General features: G+C 47.0%; 1 long non-coding RNA gene across 1 annotated transcript in view, besides 2 other annotated features; it reads right to left on the reverse strand.

Moving 5' to 3' along the window:
* Positions 1–7188: 7188 nt before the first annotated feature.
* MIR550A3HG (MIR550A3 host gene) overlaps positions 7189–15847 on the reverse strand; it is a 39217-nt gene continuing 30558 nt past the window's right edge. Inside the window, exon 2 of the long non-coding RNA NR_024278.1 lies at positions 7189–12606. This is a non-coding gene — a long non-coding RNA (MIR550A3 host gene). The remainder of the gene's footprint in view (positions 12607–15847) is intronic.
* Positions 10062–10664: an enhancer, noted in NCBI's record as "H3K27ac-H3K4me1 hESC enhancer chr7:29688411-29689013 (GRCh37/hg19 assembly coordinates)". NCBI's record gives its function as "activates a minimal SCP1, AML or CMV promoter by ChIP-STARR-seq in naive H9 embryonic stem cells {active_cell/tissue: H9 hESC(naive)}" and the evidence as "EXISTENCE:reporter gene assay evidence [ECO:0000049][PMID:30033119]".
* Positions 10665–11266: an enhancer, noted in NCBI's record as "H3K27ac-H3K4me1 hESC enhancer chr7:29689014-29689615 (GRCh37/hg19 assembly coordinates)". NCBI's record gives its function as "activates a minimal SCP1, AML or CMV promoter by ChIP-STARR-seq in naive H9 embryonic stem cells {active_cell/tissue: H9 hESC(naive)}" and the evidence as "EXISTENCE:reporter gene assay evidence [ECO:0000049][PMID:30033119]".

Here is a 15847-nt window from a genome sequence, read left to right on the forward strand (position 1 = left end):
AAAGAGTAGGATGGAGCAGAAGGTATAATAGGCAGAAACAAACAAAAGAGGTAAATAAAAAGAATTAATTTGATGGCTTCACTCAACTTAGGCACAGTTTTAAAGGGCCTGGCCTAGGCTTGGGGACCCAAGTTTCCTGCTGGGCTCTGTTGGCCTTTTTGATGTGAGAGTGATGAATCCAAGCAGGAATGCCATCCACCTTTAGAGTCATTGGCATGGTGAGGATGACAGTATGAGGTCCTTTCAAGGCAGGAGTGAGTCCTTCTTTCTGGAACTTTTTAACATACACCAGGTCACCCGGCTGGAAAAAGTGGCAGGGCTCACTCTGGTCAGGAGCTGGATTAGAGTGTGCTCCCCAGACAAGTGGCTGGATGATGACTCGTACCTGTTGGAGAGACTGCAAGTACTGTAACAAATTAGCTTGTGAGATTTCTGCTAAATGGGTATCCCTTAGCTTAGGCAAGATAGGCGGAGCCCTTCCATACATGATTTCAAAAGGTGAAAACCCAGCCCAATATGGGGTGCATCTTACTCTAAGAAGGGCTAAAGGAAGGAGCTTTACCTAATTCTCACCGGTCTCTAGGATTAACTTAGTAAGAGTACTTTTTAGGGTGCAGCTCATGTGTTCTACCTGTCCAGAGCTCTGGGGTCGATAGGCACAATGGAGTTTCCATTGAATGTTTAATGTCTTGCTAACCAACTGAGCTATGGACGAGGTGAAGGCTGGTCCATTATCAGACCCTATGGCAACAGGCAGCCCAGGTCGAGGGATGATTTCATTGAGTAAAAGCCTAACTGCCGTGGTGGCAGTTTCGTTTTTGGTGGCAAATGCCTCAGTCCATCCTGAAAAGGTGTCTACTAGCACTAGGAGGTATTTATACTCTGCCTGCTGTGGTTTCATTTCTGTAAAGTCAACTTCCCACCTTTCTCCTGGCAAGCCTTCCTGGAGGCGGTGGCCTGGGCTGGGCTTGGGACCTTGTTTGGCATTTACCTGACCACAAGCCATACACTGGAGAGCTAGCTGCTTGGTTAGTTAAGTCCTGAAGGTGGGGGATCTTGAAATGGCTCCTTAGAACCTGGGCCAGTTTTACTCCTCCCAAATGGGTGGTAGAATGCAGACGACTATTAAAGTTTTCCTGAGGGTTTGGGGCATGAAGATTCTGGAATCAGGAAGAATCTGCCAACCTTCCTGATTTTTACTGGCCTGAAGATGCAAAGCTCGTTTTTCTTCCTCTGGGGAGTATTCTGGGTGGTCTGGTAAGTGAGGTTGAGGAAAGGACACAGCAGGCAGCAGGGTCAAAGGCATGACCGGGAGCCGAGCTGACTCTCCCGCTGCAGAGTCTGTTCTTTGGTTACCACAGACAACGGCTGAGTCTTCTCTTTGATGTCCCTTGCAATGAATTACAGCCACCTGCTGAAGAAGTCAAACAGCTTCAAGCAGAGCCAAAATTTCTTCTTTGTTTTTAACAGTCTTTCCTGCTGAGGTGAGTAGCCCTCGCTCTTGATAGATGGCTCCGTGTACATGTACAGTAGCAAAAGAATACCTGCTGTCAGTGTAGATGTCAATACGTTTGTCCTTACCCCATCGGAGAGCCTGAGTGAGGGTGACCAATTCAGCCTTCTGTGCCAAGTTACCTGCCGGCAGTGCCTGGGCCTGCGGTATATCTGTCTCCATAGTAACGGCTGCACCAGCCTTTCATACTCCCTGTTCAAGGAAACTGCTACTGTCTGTAAACACAGTGGCATCTGCCTCCTTTAGAGGCACATCTTGGAGATCAGGTCAGCCAGTTTCTGTAGTCTCTAACAGTTCTTGGCAGTCATGGACAGGTGTGGTAAGGTCTGGATCAGGGAGCAAGGTAGCTGGATTTAAACACCTTGTGGGAGAGAAAGTTAAACAAGACTGATCTAACAGTAAACTCTGATATTGTAGGATGCGAGCACGCAACATCCATTTGCCAGAAGCACTTCGTAGCAAATTCTCTATGGCATGAGGAGCTGTAAGTGTTAAATTCAGGCCCAGAGTAAGTTTATCAGCCTCCTGGACCAGGCTTGCTGTTGCCCCTAGGGCTCATAGACAACTTGGCCACCCAGAGGCCACAGGGTCCAGTCTTTCAGACATATATAGGCCACTGGGCATCACCATGGTCCCAAAGTCTGAGTAAGTACCCCTTTAGCAAATCCCTGGCTCTCATGAACAAAAAGGTGAAATGGTTTTGAGATATTTGGGAGGGCAAGAGCAGGGGCCTCAGTTAATGCCATCTTTAAATTTTGAAAAGCCTGCTCTTCTTTGTCAGTCCAAACTAGTGGGCCATTTCCTCCAGTAGCAGAATACAGGGGCTTGGCAATTTCTGCGAACCCCAATATCCATAAATGACAGTATCCCACGGCCCCCAGGAATTCACATACCTGTCTCTTGGTGGTGGGAGTGGGGATCCACAGGATGGCTTCCTTTTGAGCACTAGTGAGTGCCCTTTTTCCTTTGTTTATCTCGTACCCTAAGTAGGAAACTCTGGGAAGACAAAGCTAGGCCTTCTTGGCTGAGACCCAATACCCAAGTTCCTGAAGGAGGTAAAGTAGGTCCCTAGTGTGTTGCAGGCAGCTGTCAGTAGTTTCAGTAGCCAAAAACAGGTCGTCCATGTACTGGAGGAGAGTGCAGTTAGGGTGACTGGCTCGGAATGGTATAAGATCTTGTTGGAGGGTTTCCCCAAAAAGGGTGGGGGAATTTTTAAAACCCTGGGGTAACTGAGTCCAGGTTAATTGGGTGGTGTCTCCTGAGCCAGGATCTGTCCATTCAAAAGCAAAGATAGGTTGGCTTTTGGGGGCCAGAGGAATAGCAAAGAAAGCATCCTTTAAGTCAAGGACACTGTATGCTGTATGTTCTGGTGGAAGCAGGCTGAGTAAAGTATAAGGGTTAGGGACAGTTGGATGGATGGTGACTGTCTGCTTGTTAACTTCCCGCAAGTCCTGTACTGGCTGGTAATCATTTGTTCCAGGTTTCTGGACTGGCAAAAATAGAGTATTCCAGGTGGACTGACATGGTGTGAGTATACCAGCTTGTAATAGTCAATGAATATGGGGACTGATTCCCTCTCTAGCCTGCTGACTCATAGGATATTGTTTTACTTGGACTGGCAGGGCAGTGGCCAGGAGTTCTACAACTACTGGCAGATGGTGCTTTGCCAGTCCCGTGCAGTTTGACTCGGCCCAGACGCGAGGAAAGAGGGTCTGTAAATCCAGTAGGAGAGGATTGGTTTTATTCTCCAGTGGTTGTGAGGGTGAAACTAAGAGATACTCCTCCAACAGAGGGGTGGTTAGCAGGAGCTGGGCGGTAGGGGGTGTTGGGTCCCCTAACGTGAGGTGAGCTTGTTGGGCGGAGAAGGAGATGGATGCCTTCAGCTTATGAAGCAGGTCTTGTCCGAGGAGGGGGAAGGGGCACTCTGGGACCACAAGAAACGAGTGGGTTACTCTTTTCTGTCCCAAACTCACCTCTCGTGAGTGGGTGACAGGATATTCCTGAATAGCTCCAGTAGCCCCTTGCACAGCCACCTTATTATTAGAGACACTGCCCAAGGGTGTTTGCAGTACTGACTGTTCCACCCCAGTGTCAATTAGGAAGTGTACAGGCTGGCCCCCAACTGTGACGGTCACCATGGGCTCCTGGGGGCCAAGGGAGAGGGAGCCCCAGCCCCGTCAATCATCAGATTCCTCCACAGTGGGGAGGATGAGGATCTTTTTCTTTTCTGTTTTTTCTTCTGGTTTTAATGGGCATTTCTTTTTCCAGTGTCCAATCTGTTTGCAATACATGCACTGGTTTCTTTGTAGGGGAGCCCACTCACCTTTTTGGCCTTTCTGGTGGGGACCCGGGGTCCCCTGGCCAGTGTTTTGTGATGGGGGCCCTTTCTTCTTGCCCCCCTGGATGGTGGCTACTAAGATTTTTGCCTGTCTTTTTGATGCTTTGTCAGCAGTTCTTTCAGCTACCTGGGCTGCCTGTTCTTGCTTTTCAAACTCTCGATTGTCATAAACTTTCTGGGCTATTTCTAAGAAGTTGGCTGGTGTTCATTCCAGCAAATCCTTCCAGCTTTTGTAATTTTCTTTTAATATCAGGGGCTGCCTGAGTCATAAATGCCAAATCAATAGCACAGCTATTCTCGGGAGCCGCGGGGTCAAAAGGGGTGTAAGTCCGATGGGCCTCTGGGAGGCATTCTAGAAACGCTCCTGGTGACTCATCAGGCCCCTGGACAACTTCAGTTGTCTTGGACAGATTCATGGGTTTTCCAGTGGCTCCCTTGATACCCGCAAGGAGATACTGGTGAAAATCATCCAAAGCTGTCTTCCCACCTGAGGAATTTGGATCCCAATCAGGCCGGGTAGAGGGAAAAGCCTCCTCAAGGAGGTCCTGGGCTTCCTCCTCTGGTCTACCGGCTGATGTGAGAAAATACTTTCTGGCCTCTCTTCGGATACGGTCCCTCTCTTCAGAGGTGAAAAGCGTTAAAAGGAGTTGCTGACAGTCATTCCTGGTGGGCCAGTGAGTCCAGAGCACGGACTCCATCAGTGAAGTCAAGACCTGGGGCTTTTCAGAGAAGGGGGGATTATGAGCCTTCCAATTATACAGGTCAGAAGTAGAGAAGGGGACATAAACTAAAAATGGAGCAGTGCGCTCACTCTCCAGAGGGATTTGGGCATCTCTCAACAGGAGGAGGGGGGCCACTGCCTCCGGCCGAGGCTGCAATCGGGTGGCTATAGGCGGAGAGGCCACAGGGGATGTAGTCGAGGAGACAAGGGAAGATTCTGGGGAAGCAGGAGGGTTGTAGGACAGTGGACCTACAGCTGTCCTCTTCTTCAGAAGGAGGCATTACAGGAGGAGCCGAGGGAGCTGAGGGTTTGGGCAGAAGTGCGGTCTGGCTCAAAGGACCTTGGAGGTGGGATCATGAATGGCACATGAGCGGAGCCATGGAGGAGGGCTCCGGACCAACTCTAGCCATTGATCAATGTAGGGAAACTGATTAGGGTGTCAGGAGTTTCAGCAACGACCCGCCACAGAGCCTGGACAGTTGTGGGGTTCAGTGACCCTTCTGGGGGCCACCCGGTTCCAAATTGTGGCCAATCTACTTCACAGAGTGTCTGGAGTTTGCCTTTTTTAAGGTGGACTCCGTAATCCTCTGAGAAGCCCAGAGAGAAGTACATTGTAACATACATTGGAAAGGGCTCCAATCTCTACGGGGCCGGGAAGAAGAGTTTCCCATTCTGGAGGCAATTAACAAGGTTTCAGCAGAAATATTAAACCCAGCACGGACAGAGATATTCACAGCCTGGGAGGCTGTAGTATCGGAAGAACAGAAGTATTATAGCTAGAAGAAGTAGGAAAACAGCTATAGCTAATGCTTCTTGCCACATAAGATCTGCCTCCTCAAGTACCCCCCCTCTCTTCTTGACTTACAGCCCAAATATCTGTGGTGTCTCCACGACTGAAAGGCAGAAAGTTCAAACTCAGCCCTTTCTTTTAAGGGTTTTAGGAGGGAGAGCAGAGCCAAGTCTTGGAGGCGCTGGACTTGCTGTGACACAGGAAAAGGAGATGTACGGGGTAAGGGATGGGGATGAGGAGGAAAGGGGCCACTCGGGTCTTTCCTAAGGTAAGAGAGTAGCCACGGAGGGATAGAATAAGAGTCCAGATGGAGTAAAGCAGTATGGGCGTAGGTTTCTCTGCACAGTGCCTTATTTAAGGGCACGGGAAAAGTTATGGTATGACAGAAAAGGTGAGCAAGGAGGTCTGCAGGGTGGCTATTTTGAATCCACCACTGGTCTAAGGAGGAGATGGTCCAGTCATTGGGGTGTGGAGTATGGCAATCTAAATGCCAGCAATCTTTATTGTGCCAGAAATCCCAAACGGGTGAATGTCTTCCACACCCCTCCCCATAACAACACCTGATTTGTGTCTGACAGAAAAGGCAGGACTGGGATGGCCAGCGCAAACGACTGATGAGAGATTTGACCTCCTGAGATATCAAATCTGTACTGAGGACCTTGAAGAAGTCCTTGCCCAGTTGTCATAGGCAGTATCGGCGACCGGACATACAAAATTTAGACAGACACCAAACAGGACAATAGACACTAGGATATATAAACAAGTATGACAATTTTTATAGACAGACAAGGGGAGGGGGTCCCGTGATGGGATCAGTCAGAGGCCCGCCTCGCTGCTCCCCTTGCGGGGACTTAGGCTCTTCTTGGCATTGGCAGGCCGGTATAAACCCCTGGCTTGGATCGAGCTATGCCCCATGCTGCCTTAAGCCTTATGAGGTCCCCATGGAACCGCAGGTGAGGGCCCACTCGAACTCCGTAGCTTACAACATGGAGCTACAAACTGGAAATTCAAGCGCAAGCCCTTGAACTCCACATTCACTCATTCACTCACACAGAGTTTACTACAATTTTTACATATATATATATATACACATATATATATATATACACATATATATATATACACATATATATATATATACACATATATATATATATATATATGTATATACTCGTTCTAAAATGGAGGTCTCCTAGAGACCTGAACAAGAGAAGGAGAATATATATATATATACATATATATATATACACACACATATACATATACACACACATATATATGTATATATATATGCTTCTCTGTTAAGTCTCTATATATATACATATATATAGAGAGACGTCTCTCTATATATAAACATATATATGTATGTATATATACACATATATGTGTATATATACACACACATATATATGTGTGTGTTTATATATATATATAGAGAGAGAGAGAAGCTTAACAGAGAAACATGACAGAAACCAGGACTCTGTCCTCCAGCATCCTGGAATATGGACAGAGTCTGAGGGAGGACCCTCGTCATGGCCATTTCCCTCCCAGAAAGACAGAGTCAGATCTGACTTACCTTCCTGAGACCAGAGATTGAGGACTCAGGAGTTGAATTTGGCCGGGCACAACGGCAGTCAATCCGTTCCCCTCCAGAAGACGGTGGCCTACAGGGCCCTGGAACGTCTTCAGGGGGTGCCTCCCCTATAAGCCCGCCGTCTGTCCAGGGGAGCCCAGAGCGAGTCCGGTCTTCACCCACTAGCAGATCTCACTGGGGCCTCCAAATGTTGTAACCAAGCAAGTTATAGAGAAACGCCACACTCTGAGACTAATTCAGGAGTTCTTTTATTGCCAGTGACCGAGAGATGGCTAGAGCTCAAAATTCTCTCAGCCCCGAAGAAGGGGATAGATTTCTTTTTATACCGTGGTCTAAATAGGGCAGGGGGAGCCTAGCTGAAGCAATTTTTACAGAAGCAGAACACGCAAAAAGTTAAAAAAAATTAATGGTTACAGAGATAGTTACAGAAAAATACACAGTTCCAGGTGCAGGGGCTTAAACTATCACAAAGAGATAAATGCAGGGGCTTGGGTACCATCCACTGAGCACGTCCCCAGGAGCTGCTGGTACAGCTTGCCTCAATATCTTATCAGTAAGTGCATTCCTGGATGTGCTTGGAGTCAGCTTGCACTAGTTATTCCCTTAAGGGAGGGGGATAAGGGGACTGCAAGTGAAGAGGCTAAAATGGAGTCTGTCCAGCTCTCTCAGCTGAGAGAGAGTCACTCAGATTAAAACAGGATAGGGTATCCCAGATAGACAGTTCATTAGATATGTAACTGATGATAGATAGACTACTTTTATGGCTCCTCCCATGTCCATTAAAACTAAAACCGTGTGTGATTATGTTTCCTTGAATCATTACCACTTTTTTCTTCCTAAGCACATTAACTTCCTATTTCACCATAGAAACTTTCAATATTTTTTCAGAAACTCAGGGCTTTTGGGTATGCCCTCCCACTGTCTAGTTTTTGTGCTTTCTTTTGGAGTCCTCTCTGGAGGCCACAACCATTTTTGGAGCATGCCCAGCAGAGGAAGTGGTGGATCTAGTTCCTCCTGGAATGGCTTTGGTGATGCTCTTTGCTGTGGATCAACTACAATCTGCTCCAACACCCCTTCCTCCTTTCTTTTTTCTTTGCCTCACCTCCTCTCCCACATCTCTATTCCTCCCAGCCTTTCTTCACTCCTCTGTACGCCCATCATTCTCCTCCACCTCCAAGGTCACAGGCATCACCATGTAAGCCTCCCATCCCAGAAAACCAGCCTCCAAGATAACCCCATGATCCCCACCTTCTTGTATGTACATCCTTGTGTAGGACCCTCCTGCACTGAGCAGGGCTGAGCTGTGTTAGCACTGGGATATATGGGAATGACAAGGTGGCATGTGACTTCCAAAGTTAATGTCACTTTGCTGTCTTGGATTACTAAGCCAGCTGTCATGTTGTGAGGAGGCTCAAGTTGTCCTATGGGGGGTCCTGTAGCAAGGAACTGAGCTCTCCTGCTGACAGCCAGCAGTACCTTCCCAACCATTAGAGTGAGTCACCCTAGAAGCAAATTCTCCAGCTCCAGTGCATCCTTTAGATAACTGCCACTCTGGTCACTATCTTATCTACAACCTCATGAGAAACCTCAGCCAGAACCACCCAGCTAAGTTGCCTCTGAATTCCTGAGCCACAGAAACTGGGAGATAATGTTTACTGTTTAAGACTTTAAATTTGGAGTAATTTGCTATTCAGCCATAGAAAGTGACACTCATTTCTTCGTGCCCGACACTGCTGTCTCTGTGGTTTCACATCCCTGTGGTTAAAGCTCTCCAAGGGCTCATCACTAATTTCAGGATAAAATCTAAATCCCTTAACATAGCATAGGTTTTTTACAAACTGCCTCCTGTGTGCCTCTCAGCCCCATCCGGCCCACTCTGCCTTTCCTCCCTGCATCACTCCAGCTACTCTGAAACATACTGCACCTTCCTAAATGCGGACAGATAAAATTGACAGACTTTTCATAGGATGCCCAGTGAAATTTGAATTTCAGATAAACAATGAATAATGTGTGTGGTTATACAATATTTGGGACATACTTATACTAAAAATATTGCATGACACATATTCTTCAAAGTTATTATTTTATCTGAAATTCACATTTAATAGGGCATCTTGTACTTTCCGTTGCTAAATCTGGCAACCCTACAGATGTGAGCTGTTCACTTTCAGCTCCTGCTCAGCCCCAGCTGGATCACTACAGCTCCCCTTGACTAATTCCCTGCCCTACAAGACTCGGCCCAGACATCAGTGCCCCTAGAAAGCCTAGGCTAACTTTTCTGCACAACACACACCTAGGATGGGTCAGATGTGCCTGCTGCAGGCTCCCGCCCACCTGTCACACCTCTCTCACACCACACACTTTGCAAGTATTTGTTCACCTGTCTCCAGTACTAGACTCTGAGCTTCTTGAGGTCAGGCACTGTCTTACCACGACGTGGCTTCAGTGCCAAAAACATAGTATATTCACAGTTTACAATTACTGAAGATTTACTCTAAGCTAGTTGCTGTTCTAAGATGTTCTGCATATATCAACTCATTGAATTTTCATATCAAGCCAAAGGAGGTACTATTAATATCCCACTTTTACTGGGGAGGAATCTGAGACAGAAATAGGTTTTGTGACTTCTCCAGTGTCATTTGAAAATGGCAGGGAAGTTGGGGTTCAAAGCCAGAAGTCTGACTCCAGAGCCCACCCTCTAACAAGCTAGACATATTGCCTCTTTACAGTGTATGATAAGTGCTTGCCAAATGCATGTAAGAACTGACTATCCAGCTAAGTTTCTCCAAACTAGATAACTGTCTTTAAGCAGGGACCTTGCTGCCTGTGCCCCTCCCAGCTCTCTCTCCAGTCACCACTACAGAGCACAATGCATGGTGCCTTCTTCACAAGCAAATACCTTCTCCCTTCTTCAAATCCTGACTACAGATCCAGGGTAGCACCATATACCACACCTCCCTAAAAAAAGAATGGTTATAGGCAGGGCGTGGCGGCTTACACCTGTAATCCCAGCACTTTGGGAGGCCGAGATGGGCGGATCACCTGAGGTCAGGTGTTTGAGACCAGCCTGGGCAACATGGCGAAACCCCGTCTCTACTAAAAATACAAAAAATTATACGGGCATGGTGGCATGTGCCTGTAATCCTAGCTACTCAGGAGCCTGAGGCAGGAGAATCCCTTGAATCTGGGAGGCGAAGGTTGCAGTGTGCCGAGATCGCGCCACTGCACCCCAGCTTGGATGTCAGAGTGAGACCCCATCTCAAAAAAAAAAAAAAAAAAGTGGTTACAGCATGTGCCTTAGAAATATAAGCCAAGAGAGCACTGTGGTTAATACTGCGAGTTCTAGAGTAAAATTCCCTGGGCTTAGATCCCAACTCTACTGTTTATTAGCTGTATAGTTTTGCATGAGGCCCTGAGACTTAAGATTCTTCATTGGAGAATGGAAACGCAGCATCTGGAACATAGCATGTACTCAGTAAATGTCAGCTGTCACCACTGTCATTGCCAATCCACTCAGGCCATAGGCAGGTATGTGTGGGCCTGGCAAAAGAAGTTAAGACGAGGCTGCAGGCCCTGGGGAGCACGTGGAGAGGCTGCATTGAGCTGCGCGCTGTGGGGGCTGCACGCCCAGTGAAGCGCGTGAAGAGCGAGTAGTGATGGGTTCTGCGCCACTGGGGCTGTGAACGTATGAGGGGCTGTACATGGAGCTGTGTGCAAGGTGGGGGCTGCACGTGCGGGCTTGGGGACTGCGTGCACCAGGGGCTGCAGGCGCTGGGGAGGGTGTGGGGGGCTGTGCGTGGGGCTGCCCTCACCAAAGGCTGCACGCTCAGGGAAGCGTGGAGGCGGGGGTGCCGCGTGCACTGGGGAGCACGTGAGGGGACATGCAGGGACTGCCCGTGTGAACGGCTTCAACCGCATGCCCCCCACCCCACAGTCGCCAAGAAGACTGGGAGGTCCGCATCGGCGGTGGGTACAAGTCATTCAGGCTGCGAGGCGAGTCAGGCCTTTCCAGACCTCGCCGGACTGGGCTGGGCTGCGCCGGAAATTGACCGGAACAGGGACTATGAGAAAATAGTTGAGCAATCGAGGAGTCAGCTGAAAAGCGGAGGCTCAAGAGCCATTTCAAGCTGGGCTGCACCAGAAATTGATTGGAATAGGGACTATGAGAAAATAGTCGGGCAAAGGAGGAGTAAGCTCAAAAGTGGAGTCTCAAAGCCATTTCAACCTTCCCGCCCCAGCCAGTCGAAGCAGTGGCGCGGGGCCTCCCAAGCCCAGGAGCCGGAGATGGAGGAGGTGGTGGAAGAGTTGGGGCTGCCTTTGCAGCTTTCCACCCTAGGCGGAGGGAACCTGCCAGGGGGCGTGCGGAGGTCCGCAATCTGAGACCGCGAAATGGCTTACAGCTGGACGTGATTGCCAAGACCCTTCTGGGCTGCTTCCAGAAGCGCGGAGGCTGGGGTGCTGTGCGCACTGGGGAGCACATGAGGGGACATGCAGGGACTACCGGCGCGAATGGCTTCAACCCTACGCCCCCCACCCCACATTTCACAGTTGCCATGAAGACCGGGAGGTCTGCAAAAGCAGCGGGTACAAGTCATTGAGGCCAAGAGGCGAGTCAGGCCTTTCTAGACCTCGCCCAACTCAGCTGGGCTGCGCTGGAAATTGACCGGAACAGGAACTATGAGAAAATAGTCGGGCAAATGAGAAGTAAGCTCAAAAGCGTAGGCTCAAGAGCCATTTCAAGCCGGGCTGCGCCGGAAATTGACCAGAACAGGGACTATGAGAAAAGAGTCAGGCAAAGGAGGAGTAAGCTCAAAAGGGGAGGCTCAAGAGCTGTTTCAAGCTGGGCTGTGCCGGAAACTGACCGGAACAGGGATTATGAGAAAATAGTCGGGCAAACCAGGAGTAAGCTCAAAATCGGAGGCTCAAGAGCAGTTTCAAGCTGGGCTGTGCCAGAAATTGACTGGAATAGGGACTATGAGAAAATAGTCGGGCAAACGAGCAGTAAGCGCAAAAGCAGAGTCTCAAGAGCCGTTTCAATCTTCCCACCCCAGCCAGTTGAAGCGGTGGCGCGGGGCCTCCCAAGCCTGGGAGCCAGAGATGGAGGAAGAAGTGGAAGAGTTGGGGCTGCCTCTGAAGCTTTCGACCCTAGGCGGAGGGAACCTGCCAGGGGGTGCACGGAGGTCCGCAGTCTGAGATGGCTGAATAGCTGGATGTGATCGCCAAGACCCTTCTTCTTGGCTGCTTCCAGTTGATCCATAATTTCCTGGTGCAGCTCCGGGAAAAGGTGCACGAACTGCAGGCGTGTGCGTTCTCCAGCAGGACCACTCTCGGCATTGGTGAGGAAAGGTCAGGAGAGCCCTAGGAGGGAGCCGCATGGCGCTTTTCTTGAGTCTTGAAGGCGATCAGTTTAACAAGCAAGGGTTTGTGGGTGTCTAGTAGCAAATAATAGCAAGGTCCGAGCTCTGGAAAAGCGTGGCAAGAATCGCCAAGCCCCATTAGTTCTTGTTTTAAAACATTTTCAGGGTTTTCTGACAATAGTCACCCCTATGTCACAATAAGGATATGTTATCTGAATCAGGGCAGCCAATTATCGTACTTAGTAAAAATGATTAGCTGGCTCTTGGGGAACAGACATTATGTTTCTCAGCACCTGAAAGCAGAATAAAATGGAGTAAAAAAAAATTAGTTGAGAACATTTATAATGGAAATAGGGCCAAAGTAGATATATATTGCCCGATTGACTTCCATCTTGCTGTGGAGCTTCAGTGCCTACAATTAGGAGATTTCCTTATTTATGCACTTGAAGGGTTTTTCTTCCCCCCATTCCCTTTCCCTCATTCGCTTCATTTTCTGTACCATAAGAGGGAGCTTAAATGTTGTTGCTGTTGGTATAGAATCAGTTTTGAGCCTGGCCCTAAGTCAGACTGGCTGCTGATATAAACTGTCATAGATAAATGTCTCTTAATGTCAATTATTGTAATTTTCTCACTGTAAGTTGACTGTTGATGTCAAAGTAGAATGTGTCCCCACACTTGAAGTGTTAACAGTACTTGAGGAATGATGGAGGTTCAGACTTGGATTTTATCAGATATCTAATTATGCCAGTGAACACATCCCCCATCCAGAATCAGCGTGGTCCTGGAAACCAAGCTGTACTGCCATCCCCAACACAAGCTCCAGTGCACCAACATCTCGTGCATTGAAGGAACCCTAGAGTTTGGTGAATAATGCGTGACTATTGTGACTGTTATGGGAGTTCAGAAGTGTGAACAAATGCTTTAGGATGGGAAATGGGAAATGAGATCAGGGAAGACTTTTAGGAAAAGGTGAGATTCGAATTGTGACAAAAGGCTTATATTTGGATATGTGGAGCTGAGATCAATAAGTGTCAGAGGCTGATAGAACAGCATGATCAAAGTCATAGGAGGCAGAAAACATGAAAGCCAAGTAGGCTGAAATGAAGGGCATGAGAAAGAAGTAGCAGGAAATAAGTTGAGAAGGTTGATTGAGACCAGCCTTGGAGAGTCTAATTCAAGGTTAGGTGTAAGGCATTTGAACTCCATCTGTAGGAAGGCGTTAATTCTTTTCTTTAAAAAAAATTTTTTTAATGAGATGAAATCACATAACATAAAATTAATCATTTTAAAGTGAACAGTTTAGTGGCATATAGTACATTCCCAATACTGACACCAAACAATTTTTAAATAGAGTGACATGATCAGAAGTGAGCTTCAGAGATTAACTTGGCAGCAGTGTGTAAGAGAGACTGAGAAAGGAAGCAGAAAGAATAATTGGAAAACTAGCACTAGAATCCAGGCAATAATAGTCTTCACGAGGGTAGCCACAGAAGACATGGAGAGGAGAGGATAGGTGAGAGCTGATGGAGACATTTGACAGGACTGGATGGGTGGCCTGGTAGAAGAGGAGCCTGGGAAGGGAGAAAGTTCAGGAATGAAGGTTCAGGAATGAAGGATATGGGAGTTATCTCTGTAGACGTGAGCACCGAAACTTTAAGAATGAGTGAAACTGCCAAGAGAGAAAAGTCAGCAAAGGACAGATACTTGGGGAAAACTTTTGGTTTTAAGAGATGAGAGGAAAAGGAAAAACCAGATAAAATCAGAGTAGTCACAGAAATAGAACTGGGAAAGTTGGTGTGATGAAAGATGAGAGGGGAAGAGAGCCAAGAATCTAACCAAATGCTACAGAAAGACACAAAAGAATTGTGATAACTAAAAGGTTGTTGGTCATTTAAAAAAAAAAACTTACGGGAACTTAGTAGAAAGAAGTTGGCCAAAGATCTTGTCATTGAACCAGGGGAGAGAGAGACATGGGGAGTATATTGGTTTGAAGGGTTGTCAGATCGCAGAGAGTGTTTTAAGGTCTAGGAGTTTTAAAGGTTGAGGGGAAGGATCAAGGGAAGAGGATGATATTAAGATTCCAAGAGAGGAAATAATTAGTGGAGCAAGTCTTGGAATATTTGGGAGGGGTAGAATTAAAGGCACAAATTTGAGAAGCTAACTGTGGAAAAGAGGAGAGGGAATTCCTTTTCTGAGATGGCAGGGAGTAGAAAAGTGAGGATTACTATATGGAGAAATGTTAAAGTGGAGATAAAAGAAGTCGGGAGTGCTGGCGTCTAATGGTCTTTGTTGCAGTGAAGTATGAGGCTGTGGTCACCTTCAGAGGTGAGACTGATAGGATGCCGGGGTCCAGGGGACACGCTTCTTCACAGCTTGGAAAGGGCATGTGATAAGCCCTTCAAGCATTTAGAATACTGGCATCGTTACACCATATCATTTTTTTTCAGATGTGGTATGTGGGTTAAGGGAGGGAGTGAGAGACACAGAAAGATTCTGAGCATCTTTGGAAAGCTGGATGAATTTGGAAGTATATTTGACCTTTTCCTTATATATCATCTGAAGAGTTTTTGCCAGTGTATATGGTTGTTAGGAGAATTAGAAATAGGATACAAATATAGTTGAATAGTTGTATATTTTAAAATTAATGAAGCCTAATAAACAGTTAATGAGCATCTTTAGAACCTTTTAAATTCTTCAACCTTTTAAAAATTATAGCAACCATGCTTGCGGACAGTCCAAAAACACACCATGGGCCATACTTTGCCTATCCTGGTATAAAACAAGTAAATCTTCTGAGCAGTATTTAAGATAAGCCCAGGACAGTTAGTAACATAGGAAAAGATCTGGATAAGCCTGGTTGAGAATTTCAACATTGCAATTTTTTAATTTTTAAAAATTTAATTTCTTCAATAATTATTGAATTAATTTGCATTTATTTTGTTAGCCAAGTGGAGTGATTTTTGAATTTTTAAGAGGCTATTATTGGTGGTTTATAAGATGACTTGCCAAGTATATTTGGGATAACCATAAGAAATACCATTATAAGATCTCAGAAGGGAGGTGGGACTTCTGGAATAGCCAAGGAAATGCACTCCTCCATGACGACAATGAAAATACTTGGAAAATTATCAAAATCATTTTCTTCAAAACTTTGGAAATTAACCAAAGGTTTACAACAATCTAAAGGGCATTAATTCAAGAAAAGCTGCTGAAACTCTATAAGAACAGCAAAGTTTGTGGTGCTTTAACTTGTTCTATTCCCCACTCTTCTCTCCCCAGCTCCATGGTATCCTTGAAAACAAGCAATTCCCCAACCATACAGGGGCACAGGCTGTGTTTGCAGCTCCTGTAAAAGCTCCATACCCAGAGCAGTGTCTCCCAGCTCCCTGGTGAAGTCTTACGTATACATGGGGTGCTGGCACAGGTGACTCCAGATTAGTTTCCTAGGCCATCTAGTAGCTCCTAGGTCTGGGCGCTTGCAAAGAGCTTGCAATTCATCAAGGGTTGAGTTGCACAATGGGGCTTTTAGATGTG

Source organism: Homo sapiens, chromosome 7 (genome assembly GCF_000001405.40).
Source record: "Homo sapiens chromosome 7, GRCh38.p14 Primary Assembly".
Lineage (NCBI taxonomy): Eukaryota > Metazoa > Chordata > Mammalia > Primates > Hominidae > Homo > Homo sapiens.